Raw genomic sequence first — 16,070 nt, 5'->3', positions numbered from 1 at the left:
CGTATTCCTGCTGTGAGTTCCCTCCCAGCAATCTGTCTTCCTTTTCTAAGAGTTAAGATTTGGAGGCTTTTTTTTTTCTTTAAGTTCTGGGTAGGATATGTATGCAGAACGTACAGGTTTGTTACATAAGTATGTGGTGTGCCATGGTGGTTCGGTGTACCTATTAACTCGTCTCTCCCCTCGCCCCACAACAGTTCTCAGTGTATGTTGTTCCCCTCCTTGTGTCCATCTGTTCTAGTTGTTCAACCCCCACTTATGAGTGAGAATAAGTGGTATTTGGTTTTCTCCTCCTGTGTTAGTGTGCTGAGAATGATGGCTTCCAGTTTGAACCATCCAAGGACGCAATCCTTCCTTCACCCAAGGACATGATCTCATTGCTTTTTATGGCTGCATAGTATTCCGTGGTGTATATGTACCACACTTTTTAAATCCAGTCTATCATCAATGGGCATTTGAGTTGGTTCCATGTCTTTGCTATTGTAAATAGTGCTACAATAAACATACGTGTGTGTGTCTTTATAGTAAAATGATTTATATTCCTTTGGGTATATACCCAGTAATGGGATTGCTGGGTGAAATGGTATTTCTGGTTCTAGATCCTTGAGGAATTGCCACACTTTCTTCCACAATGAACTAATTTACATTCCCATCAACAGTGTAAAAGCATTCCTATTTCTCCACAGCCTCACCAGCATCTATTGTTTCTTTACTTTTTAATAATCACCATTCTGATCTGCATGAGATGGTATCTCATTGTGGTTTTGATTTGCATTTCGCTAATCCGTGATGTTGAGCCTTTTTTATGTTTGTTGGCTGCATAAATATGTCTTCTTTTGAGAAGTACCATATCATTTTCCCAGTTTTCGATGGAGTTGTCTGTTTTTTTTTCTTGTAAATTTAAGTTTCTTGTAGATTCTGGATATTAGACCTTTGTCAGATGGGTAGATTGCAAAAATTTTCTCCCATTCTGTAGGTGAGGCATTTTTATAGTTATTTTTTCTTTTTAATATGTGTCAATCAATATGCCTAGGACTTACAGAGAAGATGGCCCCATACAGGAATATGATGGTCCAGGACTCAGGGATACCTGGCTGGTGCCTCACTAAGTACCCCTCTTCCCTGTGACCTTCTTTTTCCCTTCCATGTAGCTTTATCAAGGTACAGTTGACAAAATTGGCACTTAAGGTGTACAACTTGATGCTTTGATGTACATATACATTGCGGAATGATTATCATCAAGCTAATTCACATACTCGTCATCTATCACCTCACATAGTTACCATTTTGGGGGATTTGTTTTGTGGTGAGAACACTTAAGGTCTACCCTCTTAGCAAACTTCAACTATACAGTATGCTATTGTGAACTATTGTCCCCATGCTGTAGGTTAGATCCACGGAGCTTATTCATCTTGTAACTGATTGTTCAATACCTCCCCATTTCCCTTCCCCGGACCTGTGGTCTTCTTAAGGAACAATTGCCAAATAGTAACTGAAGTTCTAGGTTTTCATTGGCCCAAGCCCTGTCCCTCCCAAAGCAGAGTTCTGGGTGGGAAACTGCAGTTTCGGGTGATGCTGCTGGCTCCAGCTCTCCCTCAGCCACTTCCGCATCTAGGGGTCTTGCCATGCTCTGATTGATTGTTCCTTGCAAAGCAAAGACAAGAAGAAGAGAGCAGAGAAAGAGCCCAGTGCTTTAGGAGGAATCTTCAGCTCTGGTTTGGTTTGCTGATCCCTAGACCTGGAAAAGAGAGGGGAGATGCATGCATAGTATGTGGCTTTTGGCCCCCAGTGACTGTGCCTGAGCAACAGCTAGTACCAGGTAATGTCTTGGACCCTGACCAGTCAGTACGATGTGCTTTGGGGAAAGAGGAGAGAAGTAGAAAGTGGGGAGGGTGGTAGGCAGAGGGGTAAAACTTCCCTTCCCTCCATACCATGCAGGCCGTTTCTCACTTGAATATAGTTGAAGCATAATTCTGTGCACTAGTTGAGGTCTTCCTGTGGTCAGTGGGTCTGTTGACTTGCAGTAATAGATGCTTCACAGATACCAAAGGAAGCTGGGAGTCTTGTGTCTGAAAAGGTTATTCTCTCAAGCTTTTGCTGGTGCAACACAACCAGCATCATATGTTCCTGCCTTCAGTGTGACAGCTCAGGAGGAAACAAGATCCTGATTTAGCAGAAGCAGATGTCTCATAAAATACTTTAACCATGACAAAGTGAAACTGTGAATTAGTCATTTAAGTATTTACTCTAGTGAATATCCAAACAGATGTGCTCATGTAGAAAAGAAAATAAGCTCCTTCCTTCTGTCATTGGACCAATGTGCATGTGACTTTATAGTGTTCTTCCGGTTTCTAGCCAGGTTGTTGCTGAAATATCTTGGCTGTGTATCTTGGATCTGAGCTTGGAAGGCACCTATAGTGATGTGGGAGGTAAATCTCTGAAGGTTGCTTTAGGACACTGAGAATCTGTGTGTAGACTGTGGAGCCCTGGTCCTATGTCCAGTGTCCTGAACTGGCCCAGTGAACCCATGGCAGGCACACACGGGCCCTAGTAAATAGTAGTCTATATTTAGCCCTTTTGGTGGAGGATAAAGTTTATATATCTAATGTCAGGTGCCCATTGGCATCAACGAAGCCAGTTGGCTTTACAGGGGGAACATAAGTACAAGATACCGTGTATTTCTCAGCTAACTATTCTGCAAATTCATGTAAAGATGGTTGCTGAAATTATGTGGAACTTCATCCCCACCACTTAAAAGCAGCTCAAAGCTCCAGTCCTTGCCATATGTTTCCTGGGGGCCCAAATCACCCCTAATTGAGAATGTCTCACTTAGAGTAAGATCCTTGTGTTCTGTGGTGGCCTGTTGGTAGTAGAACCCCAAGAATCAACTACGTTTTACTTACAAGGCTGGCTGACTGGCTGGCTTTGCATCTAAGCCAGGCTTTTGGGAGTGGAAGGAACCATGGCATCTTGTTAGACTTCTGTTCCTCCTGTTCCCTAAGTCTCTACTGTGTGTCCCACTGTTGCTAAGTATCCTTGAAGCACAGTCTTCCTGTGTCACTTATCCACTCTGGAACATCAAACAGCTGCCTGTGTTGAGAAGCCTCCATGATCCTGTCCCACTCTACCTGTCCAAACCTACTTCTCATTATTGCTTGACATGCCTTTTTTGTTTCAGGTGTTTTGGGTTTTATTGTATCAGTTGTTCTTATTCTGAACAGTAGGTACAAAAGATATGAACACTGTTGTGTCTTAGGTTGGAAATGTGCATCCTCAGACTTTAAGAAACTCCAGATTGAGACAAGCTTGGATGCGGATTGAATTCATGGTCAGAAGATGAATTAAATGGAAAGAAAAAAAGGCAACTTGTGCTTGAAGCCTCTAAGCAGTTGCTGAGACTCATTCAGCTCTTGTAGTTGTGCTTGGATCATTCATATAAAGGCCGTTTTAATCTGTTCTTCAGATTCATTCAGGGGAGTATAAAGGTTTACAACTTTGACAGTGGGGCTGGGTGTTGACAGAGGTGACTAGGAAGCTGGTGGCCTTGGCATCCTTAGGGTTTTCTTCTGGGATTACAGGAGCTGGACTGCAAGGATCAGAGGTTCCATCATCTGAACTGCTGTCCTTTGGTGAAGGTTTCTTTCCCAGCTGCTCAGTTGACCACTGTTGGTACCTGGATTGCTTATGCTCCAAGAGCATGTATTGGAGTCATTACATTGATGATACAGAGGAGCTTACTACATTGTCCATGTTATCTATGTTATTTCATTTCTGTTTCTAAGACTTTCTTTTTCTTCTGCATAAATCCTACCATCTCTGCAAGCCTTTCCCAGTTAATCCAGTCCCCATGCCACTGTGCTTCCAATCTGTACCACACAGTTGGACATTTACCTTTTCAAAGCTAAGTTGTAGTTTGTAAGCTACTTGAAGTTAAGGCAGTCTATTTCCTTGTTGTGTATTTGCTTCCTCACAGCCAGCCTAGTAACCAGTAGATATTTTGGTATTGATTTTGATGGGACTCTTTAGGACATCTAATATGAATGTTATAACTTCATTGGAATCCATAGAACATGGCAACTAAGTTTGGAGCCTGTAACTCCAAAGCAACGATTGCTAGTTTACACCTTGCCCCTTAAACAATTGGAACAATACACCTATAAGATAAAAAAAAACCTGATTTTAAGTAACATAGTGTTTCCACGAATCTGTTGGTATTAACTGTTGTTGAAGTATACCCCTAAGTAAGTAGACAAACTGACCTGCTTGATGGAGGATGTTGGATATAAGCAAGTTATATTGTGGAGTAAATGTTAAAGCAAATATTTTATTTCGAAGGGAATTCTTTACTCTGACTTCCAGAGGTGCTCTCTTGGCTTAGACTTTGAATGTGGTTCAGGGTGTGAGAAGTTGGTCATTCTTGTCCTTTCCTGACTCATACCACTAGCCTCTTTGGCAAAAAGCAGTGTGTAGTTTCTTTGTTTAGGGTAGAGCATTAGTTTCCAGGGTGGTGACTTTTCTTTGCTGGTCTGAAGTCATGCTGTCTCCAGTTTCCTGTTTCATTCTCTGCTCCTCCTCAGTTTCACCAGGGTGTGTGATCCACTGCCCTCATTTCCTTGTTGGCAGTGGGTCCTTTGGCACCTGCGGCTGCTTCATGGGCAGTCAGGGTTTGCCTGTAGGCCCCGAGAGGCTTGGGACTTGCAACAGAAGTTTACCATCCTTCCCTAAGCACTGGCTTGTGTCATTTGATGACTACTTATTCAGAACCTGGAACTTTCTGCCTGTGAGGTCGACATACCCATCATGCTTATTGCCTGGAGAGGAAGCCCTACATTCTGCTGCTGCTGCAGAGTGATGATTTTTAACAGACCAGAACTTACACATCTAAATGAGTGTTGTTGTTCAGTGAAGTCACCTTAGGACAATGATTTAAATAACACCGCGATTTCTCAAGAAGTTTGGAACTTCTCTTATGGTTGAGTTCAAAGCCATTTTATGTTATATGTGGCCCAAACAAGTTTTATTAGTACAATTAAATCTTTATTGAGGACTTTTGATGGACCACATAGTGAACTTGGACTGGGAATCAAAAGAATGGTAAGGCAGGGTGTCTGCCTTCACTGTGCCTGCAGTCTGGCTGAGATGCACATGTGAGCCACACTAGCACAAGCCAGCATGCACTGGCCTGTCACAAGAGAGGTGAGATCAATTCTAGGGATGCGGAGGTGGGAGTGATGACATCTGTGGGGAATGGGGATGGGAGGAAAGTCAGGGAAGACACCAGCAATGAAAGACTGGGAGGATTTGAGAAGAAAGATAGGGGAGGAAGGACAAGGGAACCATATCAACAGCAGTGTTGAAAATCTGGGGACTTGCCTGGGAAATGAAGTCATTTCACTGGACTGACAATGCATGCTGCAGTGTTGGTTTCCCTTCATAGGTGGAGCCAGGCCCAGCATAAGCACTGACCCTGTGGATGGATGCCAGGTGAGGCTGGCAGGTCTGCTGGCCCAGGTGTTGTCTCCCGCAGGAGCTGGGAGCAGACGTTGTCTGAAGGTAGGGGTATATTGTAGCCATGCTGAGGAGCCAGCATAGAAGCCAGTGTTGGACCTAGGGAGCTCCAGCAGGAAGACACTGGGGAGAGACATTGAGAAGAGGAAATAGAAATGCAAGGCAGGGCAAAGGGGGTTTGATGATGACGGTGATGATGATTTTTTAAGAGTATGTATTGTGAACAAAGTAGGAAAGGACTTGTGCTTATTTACAGTGGACAGACTGGTGCTGGGGCAAGTGGGTACATCGTAGAAGTTAGGATGAAGGAGAGATGGAAATGGTGACCAGTGGAGATCAGCCTCAATGGCTTTCAATACAGACTAAGAAGTGTGACCTTGATCCAGGAGGCTCTGGGAGCCACAGTGATCCTTCTTGAACACGGAGTGACATAGCCAGACCTAAGTTTTAGAAAGAGGGATCTTCTAGCTCTTGGTGGGATGGATTGGAGGGGGGAGAGGCTGAAGGCAAGACAACCTTGGCCTTCACAGCCTAATTTAAAAAGTAAAGAGCAAACACTTGAGTCAGAATGCTTCAGAGGGGGAAAGGGGGGAATTTGGTGTGAGAAGCAGATGTTGAAAGGATTTGGGGATGGCTTGGATGTTGGGTGAGCACACAATCCTTGTTTTCCCCAAAATGCCTAGTTGCAGCCCAGTGTCTCAGCATAAGTGAATCATGGAGCTGCCTTTCTTTAGGTCAAAAATGGCCAAATGTGGCTATTTAATGTGGTTCAACATAAGGTTAAATGTGCCTCCTTTTCATATATGGGAAGTGTCCTGGTTTGGACAGTAAATGATTTGGTCCCCCTAGTTAGACATGGTGAGATATGGCAGAACAGTTTTCTTCGAAGTTCTGAGCTTGGTGACTGGGAGAATGCCCTGGTAGCAGAAGTGAATTGGGATTGGGAGGTGGGTGATATTGACCTACCTGCTCACCAAACTTGGGACCGACTCACATTTGACTTTCAAATAATTCTGTTCCCTCTCCAAAGATGTAACACTTTCATCTCTAAGGATATTGGAAGCAAAGAAGCTCTGAAGGTGGTTCCTGTAGAAGCTCTTAAAAGATTGCTTTCAGTGGCATGACCCATATGGGAGTGTCTAAGTTCTGGTGGATGTGTTCATGAGTGAGGCTCCCTGCACTGTAGTCATTTCTCACATGGGTGGTTAGAGTAGGTGGCTGGCCATCCCAAGGCGCATGGGTCTCGTTCACTTAACTGTATCCATTAACTGATTTCTGACTCTTTCCTGAAAGACAGCTAGGCTCACACATGCTCATCCTTATTCACAATGGGGCTGGGCTTAGGTGTGTCTAAGGGCTCAGTGCAGACACACCCACCCATGTGTGCATCCCACAAAGAGTGCCCAGCAGAACCACTCTCATTCTGAACCCCAGCACATGTGCCTGCTTCATGATTTAAGCAAGTACCAGGTATCTAGTGGAGAAGCAGAAATGTCACGGTGATTAAACTTTTTAGTTTTATGAGATCTTGCTTCAGTCCCTTGAATGCACAGGTTAACTGCACGGCTTGCTGTGTAGAGGAGGGAAATGCAGGGAATTACATCCACTTCTATTTCATGGGTGGAATTACTAGCTATACCAAAGCATCAGTTCCTAAGGATAAATAAATGGCTTTGTCAGGCCAACTATGACAATAGAAGATACTTCAGTGGAAACACATTTTTCTGAAATGGTTGCACTCAAGATCGTTGGTGAGGGGATACTCTGTGAGAAAGGTTGTGCAGGGAATGTTGATGGATTTCGGCCAGTTGTGGTGGCTCACACCTGTAATCCCAGCACTTTGTGGGGTTGAGGTCAGTGGATTACTTGAGGCCAGGAGTTCGAGACCAGCCTGGCCAACATGGCAAAACCTTGTCTCTACTAAAAATACAAAAAAATTAGCCAGATGCAGTGGTGCACGCCTGTAGTGCCAGCTACTCAGGAGGCTGAGGCATGACAATCACTTGAGCCTAGGAAGTGGAGGTTGCAGTGAGCTAAGATCACATCACTGCACTCAAGGCTGAGTGACAGAGCGAGACTGTTTTAAAAAAAAATGTACAGGTTTATATTACTGAGCAAGTCCATAGGCAATAGATCCTGGTTTCAGTTTTTAGTGGCCTAATGGCTACACAAAGAGTCAGGACCACATCAGTGTGTTATGTACCAGGTTTATGGATGAGGAGATCTACAAACACCAGAGTTACCCAAATCTCTGTTGTCTTTGATAAAAGCAACACTGGTCTCCATATAGGTTTTTTCCCTTGTTTGGTAAATGTTCCCATGGGGCAGCAGTGTAGCTCAAGGGTCATTTCTGCATTTTCTGCATTTTTCTCCTCGATGGCTTATTTCTTCTCTTTGAGAATGAACTACTCCTTTCTGTGTTTCATTATGAAATCTTGAGGTTTTAAATTCTTTCCAACTACAAAAAAAAACTCAGTACTTAAGAAAACTGGGAGAACACCAAAAAGAAGTGTCGTCCATAATTCTAGCATTTTTTTTTAAACCACATTTTCCCCTCCCTGTTTCTAAGCCCACCTGCTCAGAGTTACACTGCTCAATTTTGATGTGAACCTGTCTAGTACAGCCTTTTGCTTACTTAAACAGTGTATCCATAGATTGTTTTTTAAACACAAGGATTATACTATAACATTTTGTAACTTGTGCTTTTTGGTTAATATACCATGATTATCTTTCCAAATCAACCCGTTAGTCTACTACATATTAGTGGCTACAGGATTCCCATGGAAGACTGTTTTACTGGAAAGGGGTCCTGATACAGACCCCAAGAGAAGGTTCTTGGATCTCACACAAAGAATTCGAGGCGAATCTAGAGTAAAATGAAAGGAAGTTTATTAAAGTAAATGAATTAAGAGTGGTTACTCCGAAGGCAGAGAAGCCCCAAGGGCTGCTGGTTGGCCATTTTTATGGTTATTTCTTGATTACATGCTAAACAAGGGGTGGATTATTCATGAGTTTTCCGGGAAAGGGGTGGGCAATTCCCAGAACCAGAGGGTTCATCCCCTTTTTAGACCATATAGGGTAACTCCCTGAAGTTGCCATGGCATTTGTAAATTGTCATGGCACTGGTGGGAGTGTCTTTCTTTTTCTTTTTTCTTTTTTTTTTAGCATATTAACGCAGTATAATTAGTGTTTAATGAGCGCTGAGGACGACCAGAGGTCACTTTAATTTCCATCTTGTTTTTGGTGGGTTTTGGCTGGCTTCTTTACCACAACCTGCTTTATCAGCAAGGTCTTTGTGACCTGTATCTGGTGCTGACCTCCTATCTCATCCTGTGACTTGGATGCCTAACTTCCTGGGAATGCAGCCCAGCAGGTCTCAGCCTCATTTTACCCAGCCCCTCTTCCAGATGGAGTTGCTCTGGTTTAAACGCCTCCAACAACTGCATGATGATTTGTTAACATCCCACTGAACATGAGGCAATTTTCAATTTTTGCCCTTGTAACAACACTACAGTTAACATCCATATTATTTACTCTTCCCATCCTCAAGCTAGTGTTACTGTAGGAGAGTCTTCTAGACTTGGCATGACTGGATCAAGTTGCTCTCGAGGGTTCATCCATTCTGCAGTTTTGTCAACAACATGAGCATGCTTAGTTTCCTATCTTGGTATTACTAATATTCTTTTGTGTGTGTGTGTGCCTCTCTGTGTGTGTGTGTGTGTGTCTGTGTGTGTGTGTGTGTGTGTGTGTGGCACAAAGCTCATAGGTTAGTAGTATTTCACCATTTAATGGTCATTTCTTGAATCATGAGGGAAGTTGAGCATCTTTTCATGTTTATTGGCTCTTTGTATTTTTTCAGTCTATTTACAAATTGTTCATAGTTTCTTACTGATTTGATAGCTTTGAGAATAATAGATATTGAAAGTTTCTCTGCATGTTTGTTAAGGTTTCTTCTGCCATTTGCTTTTGTTTGCGGAGTCTTTTAAAAGAGAATGCATGCTGTCAAATCTGTCAGTCATTTTCCTTTATGTATTCTGAATTTTATAGCATGCTTAAGGTTTTAAATTTTTGAAAAAAGTATTTTTGGAGTCTAACACTCTTGACATTTATTCAATGATTCAATAATTCAATATTAGAGTATCTACTTAATGTGTTCTGTTCCTACTAATTACCATATCATTTCCTCTTCCCCTTCAGTTCCATTTTGGGCACTAGTATGTTACTGGCATTCATTCATGATTGCAGCTTTTTAGGAAATTGAATATCACCCTGTTGAAAAGCCTGAAAGTTATGGTCTAGCCAAGCAGCTGACCAACCTCTTCCAGGAACCCCCGTGGTTTCTGGTCTTTATAACCCTTTTACAGTTCTTTGAGCAGACTGGGTGCTCTTGTGTTTAAAAAAAAACAAAAAACAAAAAACTGATTGTTAACCAAAGTCGATGGCTTTAGACACACCCTGCTTTAGTGAGGTGTGTTAGAACGCAGCAGCAGCAGCAGGATGGCTATAATCTTCCTTCTCCATTATGCCATGTGACCTTGGGCCTGTCCCTCAACCTTTTGTAATCCCCTGTGCTCACTTTTCAAATGCAAGACCCATTCTTCCTTTTAATGCTGCTCCCATCACTGTTTCTTGGTTTAGTGATTCTTCTGAATTTCAGCTTGGGGCTGCATCTGCTACTACAGTTTTTTGGCTTATCATTTTTCTCTTCTAATCTTTTCTTCCCATCTTTGAGCCTCTTACTTGAAATCCCTTTAAGGCAGGCAGTTATTCATTTGGATTCTTCTTTGTTTCTGCTGGCCCTTATATGTGTCTGCTTCATTTCCTGGTCTCTGTCTTTGAAGCTGAAATTAGAAACCTGCAAAAGCATAACAGATGCTAGAATCTCATGAAGTAACAGCCCTGAAATAGCCCAAGTCTACTGGCACAGGATTTGGCCATAATTCTAGTGAAAGCTCACAATGGGGCTGCCCTGACTAATCACATTTGTCCCTGTTTCTCACAAACTTTTGAGGATGGTCCCAGTGCATTGTCATCCCCTTAGCCAAAACCCTTGGCTTTTCTAGTGCCATTTCTCCTCTTTCCCTTTTAGTATATTAGCATTGAAAACTTTGGGAAATTTTCAGTGCAAGCCTATATATTACAAATAGGCATTTAAATCTGTAGAAGCTGCAAGCAGACACTGAACAGAAGTCAGGGGTGCTGAGATACATGTAACAGGGTGTGGTGGTGTCAGGTGGCTCAGTTGATAAACAAATGGCTGCCTAGTGCCCTGTGAGACTCCTACAAAGACAGAAACAGCCTCCAGCAATGGGAAGAAGGCAGACAGTTGCCAGATTTGGGTTGAAGTTTCGGGGCTACCAGTTACTTTTTGTTGTACATACATCCGTTAGGTTCTCTGAGTATACCTACCCCATAGGATGGTTGTAAGGATTCGGGGATGAGATTGTGTATGTTAATTACTATGAAGTGCCATCTATACATAGTAATAATAGGTGATTAAATTTCCAAGAATGCAAGGATGGGTATGCAAATAAGCTTGAATACGAGTAAAATTTATAAATGCTCTCAGAGACTTTGCAGATACAGTGCCAAAGAACTTGAGAGGAGAAAGCTTCTGTCAGTCTGGGTATTGGAGGGGAATGCATAGCATTGATGTTAGTAAATACGCAGTAGTTGATCAAAGCTGCTATGAGATGGGCCTCCACTCCCTTTATAAACTTCCAGTGCGTCTGAATGATAGTAGAGGACTTTGTTTTAGTCTCCTTTGACCTGGTGGCAAGTGGCTGCAATGCATCTATATGCACAGGTGGGGCTGTTGCCCTTCCCTGTCTTCAGGTGGGGCCTCCACTAACTGGGGGAATTCTCTCATGCTGGTGGTACCTGGACACCCAGGCACATACCTGCCGGTAAGCAACTTAAAATGAACTTCTTCATAGAAACATGTCACTATATTTTAGGAATACAGGCTGTGCAGGCTGTCCTGGGAACCTAGCATGGCTAGAATTGTTTCTGCTGAAAAAGTGAATTCTGAATTCCAGACCCAGAACTTTGAACACAGCTTGTTTGAACAGGAAGCCCTCACTTAATGCTATAGGAGGATGGGGGATGCTGTTGTAGGGAAAGTGGTGATACAATGAGGCTCTTTCTGGATGGATCCAAGGGGCAGCAGCTCCCCTGTGCTGCATTATAACGCAGAGCAGGTCAGTTGTAGGCAGACTTTGGTACAAAAGTGCTAGGGAACTCTTCTGCTTTGATTTTTAAAACCACATTTTGTAAACCTTGGCTTACAGAAAATCCCCAAGAAGCCTAAAAAGGGTAGAGACAGCCACAGTAGAAATAGGAGCAGAAAGGCGAGGTGGTTTGATTTTGGCGGTGGTTTCCCAGTTGAGTGTAAATTCTGACTGTGGAGCACATGGGTGTTAGTTGATGAGTGTGGTGACAACTCAAGGAGGGATACTACCTAATATTCTATGGCTGTCATTTCCTGGAGTCCCTGTCAGCAATGGTTGCATTTTTATGAGCAGACACAAAGTGTGTCTTACATGGACATAATTTGTTAATTTCCCTCAGAGGGAATTTTTTTTTTTTTTTTTGAGGGTCTTGCTCTGTAACCTAGGCTGGAGTGTGGTGGCATGATCTTGGTTCACTGCAACCTCAACCTCCTGGGCTCAAATGATCCTCCTGCCTCAGCTTCCCCTGTAGATGGTGATTTGATTCCTCCTGGAGTGGAGGAACACCAGGGTTCTTTGTCCTCATGCTGGTTTAGATAAAACAACATGGACTTATGTGGAGTAGTTTTAAGGAGTGGATAATTTAATAGGCAAGGAGGAAGCTCCCTCGTACAGAGACAAAGGGAGTGGGGCTCCAAAGCCGAGAGAGGGAACCCCAGTTGGGGCGGAAACCAGCCAGATATATAGAGAGAGGCTGAAGGAGGTGGTGTTTGATTTGCATAGGTCTCAGGGGATTGGTTTGACCAGGTATGTCATTCATGTAGCCTTCGAAAAAGGTGGCCCTCCCACCCTAGCCTTTTAATATGCAAATGCAGGGTGCCATGATGTTCTACACATGTGGGGTTATGCGGGGGTGGCCATGTTGCCAGGAATACATGGGGCAAGGGCACAAAGGCCCAGGGAATCGCCTTGTTGGGTGGGTATCAAAGGTTGCCGACCTGGCTCTAAGGGCCAGGACTTTACAAGAAACGTTTGTGTTTGCAGAGCAGCGTTAAAAACAGAAACTTCCCAAGGACCTCTTTTCCTTTCCATCTGCCTAAAATAATTAATTAATAACTCCTACGACACTGGGACACAGGCAGGTACCACCACACCTGGCTAATTTTTTGATTTTTTTTTTTTTTTTGGTAGAGATGAGGTCTCACTTTATTGCTCAGGCTGGTCTCAAACTCTTGGGCTCAAGCAAATCTCTCACTTTGGCCTCTCAGTGTGCTGAGATTACAGGCATGAGCCACTGCACTTGGCTTCAGAGGGAATCTTTGGTTTGCTTTTTGTGTCTCTCACCCTTGATAAAAGGTTCCTATAACTTTTTTTTTCCTTTTTTGAGACGGAGTCTTGCTCTGTCGCCCAGGCCAGAGTGCAGTGGTGCGATCTTGGCTCACTGCAACCTCCGCCTTCTGGGTTCAAGCAATTCTCCTGCCTCAGCCTCTTGAGTAGCTGGGACTACAGGCATGTGCCACCACTTCCGGCTAATTTTTGTATTTTTAGTAGAGACGGGGTTTCACCATATTGGCCAGGCTGGTCTCGAACTCCTGACCTCATGATCTGTCCACCTTGGTCTCCCAAAGTGCTGGGCTTACAGGTGTGAGCCACTGTGCCTGGCCAGGTTCCTATAACTTGAGCTCCAGATAAACTTTTAAAAAATGGTACTTAAAGGAAACTGACTTGCTTTCCAGAAGGTTACTTTTGCCAGGTTACTGACCAGGAAAAATGAGCATTTTAGGGAGACTTTTCTCCCCTTAGATGATATTCACAAGTCTAGGAGCAAAAAACATCAGCTAACAAAGATCTGTCAAGCACTAACATATGCCTTCTGTTGGGCCAAGTCTTTTGGAAGAACCAAAAAGGTGTAATATGCAGGCTTTCTTCAAAAGAAGTGTGTTGATGGATAGATAAGATAGATATGCAAAACAATGACTGGAAAAGACAGTATGAAATGAATTGCTATGCTATAAATCACTTTTGGAAGATGGAGGATATAAATTATACATGTGTGAATGCATACATTTTAAATGGCCATGTGCTTATACATAATCTAGACAATTAGTGAAAATTGATAATTTCTGAAAGTGCAGGCTTGAGCTAGTCCTTGAAAGAGGGTGAGGCTATGGGTTGTGCAAAAGGATATGTCAAAATATAGACTTTAAAAATATTGCTCCTTCAATTTTATTCCTAACAAACCTGGAGTTAAATGAAGAGGAACACAATTATTGTTTTAAAGATTTTAAAGTCACCTGAGAAATATTTCACATTGGTGGTTTTACCAGTGCTGCACTTGTATTTAAGCTGTGTCTAGGGTGGTAATAAATCAATAGCACATCACCTATTTTTCCTGTGTGTGGTAGGTGTTCCTATACATGCCTGTCATGTGGAGTTTCCTGAGGCTCAGTTCCAATCTCACCTTTGTCTGTTTCGGAAACTTTCAGTAGCCTCCAGTAGCTTACAGCATGAAGTCCTCTCTGCAAGCAGGGTGTTTGGGGTCCTCCATGGTCCACCTATAATCCTGACTTGCCACGTTTATTTCCTTCTACCCTCCTTTGGACACCAAACCCACAGCCAACAGCAGGTCACCCCACACCGGTCCTGCCGCTGTGTGTCACAGGTGCTGGCTTCTTTCCCTGGTCTATGAATTCTGTCTCTGCATCTTCAAATCTTCTACATCCTTCAAAGCTTTGCTCAAAGTCCCTGCTTCCACTAAACCTTTTCTAACCTTCCAGCCAAAAGAATCTCTGCCATCTCAGAGTTTCTGTGGTACCCAACCCCTGCTGCTCTTGTGGCTCTTAATACTCTCTTCCTCACACTGTTAGTTACTGTGCTTCCCCGTTAGCATGAGGGCTGAGTCCCCAGGCCTTTCTCATCTTGGTTTTCCTGCACCTAGCATCACCTTGGAGACCTGAGCTCTTTGGGAAGGGTGCCTCATCAATCAAAACTGGCAACCTCCAGTGAACGCTCTGGGCTTCATGACACAGCCCTACCTAGGAGACACCTGGGCCTCTTGTTGCTACCTCTGCATGTTTATTTAGAGGTTTTTACTGATGTCTGCATAGATGACAGACACAGGCGGTTAAACATAGTGTGATTCTTAAAACATTCATTTTATTTATTTTTATTCTTTTTTTTTTTTTTTTTGAGATGGAGTCTTCCTCTGTCACCCAGGCTAGAGTGCAGTGGCACGATCTCACCTCACTGCAACCTCCACTTCCCAGGTTCAAGCGATTCTCCTGCCTCACCCTCCCTAGTAGCTGGGATTACAGGCGCGTGCCACCACACCTGGAAAACTTGTTTTTGTATTTTTAGTAGAGACGGGGTTTCACCGTGTTAGCCAGGATGGTCTCAATCTCCTGCTTCGTGATCTACCCGCCTCGGCCTCCCAAAATGCTGGGATTACAGGCATGAGCCACCATGCCCTGCCAACACTCTGCTTTTTAACAGTCTCTAAGATGTTTTATCCAGGGTAGAATCCTCAGAGCAGATGGAGGAGTAAACAGGCAATCTTTAGAGACACTTGGCAAACATCGAAGTCCTACCTGGCTGTGGCTTTAAGGAAGTATCTTGCAGAATACTGAGAGAGAGCTGAAATAGGACATGTCCATGGCTGCATGTTCTGGTATTGAGGAGTGTCCATGGCATGGTGGTTACCTTGTTCACAGCTGTGAGACTCACTTAGCAGTTTCAGGTGTGCTATTATTGTGAGTCTCTTTCACAATTTACTGTAGAGGTTTACTATTCCCAGTCAGTCCGATTTGGGGATATTGGTGGAGTGGTATCCTTTTTGGTTCTATGTTGCTGTATACAGACCACTCCACTATATGTAGTGGCACAAGAACAGTTAGTCTTTTGCATTTCTGTGAGTTGACCAGTTGTGTGTGTTCCTGTGGCCTGCTCATCTCCTCTACTGGCATCACCCTCCGCCTGTAAGCAGAAGACTTCTAAGCCTATTTCTTAAGTCTTTACTCTCTTCTGAGCTCCAGACATGAAGATCCAACCGACTGCTGGCATAGTCAGTGGAATGCCCCAGCCTTGGCATTTCCACAAATGTGGAAATTATCTTTGGTTCCAAATGCAAGGGTTATATAATTTCTCCGTGTCTCCAGTGCCTGCACAGTGTATGGTACACATAATAGGTTCTGAGCAATATTTGAATCAGTGAGTAAAGAACACTTGTCAAGGTCCACCAGTGGGTGCTAGATATGTCAATTGTGATACACACACGTGCACACACCACAATGGAATACTGAAATGAGTAAGCCAGATCTATGTGTATTAATAAGGAAAAAATCGATGGTGAGTGGAAACAAATGTAGAATACGTAGTATATGCTACCATTTTTCTTAA

At 43.4% G+C, this 16,070-nt stretch overlaps 1 protein-coding gene across 1 annotated transcript in view, besides 2 other annotated features; it reads left to right on the top strand.

Moving 5' to 3' along the window:
* Nucleotides 1-16,070, top strand: part of MYO5B (myosin VB) — a 372,359-nt gene that overhangs the window by 92,711 nt on the left and 263,578 nt on the right. The window lies entirely within an intron of this gene.
* Nucleotides 1,444-2,643: an enhancer, noted in NCBI's record as "CDK7 strongly-dependent group 2 enhancer chr18:47626164-47627363 (GRCh37/hg19 assembly coordinates)". NCBI's record gives its function as "activates an origin of replication core promoter dependent on BRD2, BRD4, P300/CBP, MED14 and CDK7 cofactors, with strong dependence on CDK7, by STARR-seq in HCT116 cells {active_cell/tissue: HCT116}" and the evidence as "EXISTENCE:reporter gene assay evidence [ECO:0000049][PMID:35650434]".
* Nucleotides 1,945-2,094: an enhancer, noted in NCBI's record as "active region_13311". NCBI's record gives its function as "activates an Ori minimal core promoter by ATAC-STARR-seq in GM12878 lymphoblastoid cells {active_cell/tissue: GM12878}" and the evidence as "EXISTENCE:reporter gene assay evidence [ECO:0000049][PMID:35858748]".

The sequence above is a fragment of the Homo sapiens genome, chromosome 18 (genome assembly GCF_000001405.40).
Source record: "Homo sapiens chromosome 18, GRCh38.p14 Primary Assembly".
Classification (NCBI taxonomy): domain Eukaryota; kingdom Metazoa; phylum Chordata; class Mammalia; order Primates; family Hominidae; genus Homo; species Homo sapiens.
Note: the sequence above shows the minus strand (reverse complement) of the source record. Positions and strands in the feature narration are given on the sequence as shown.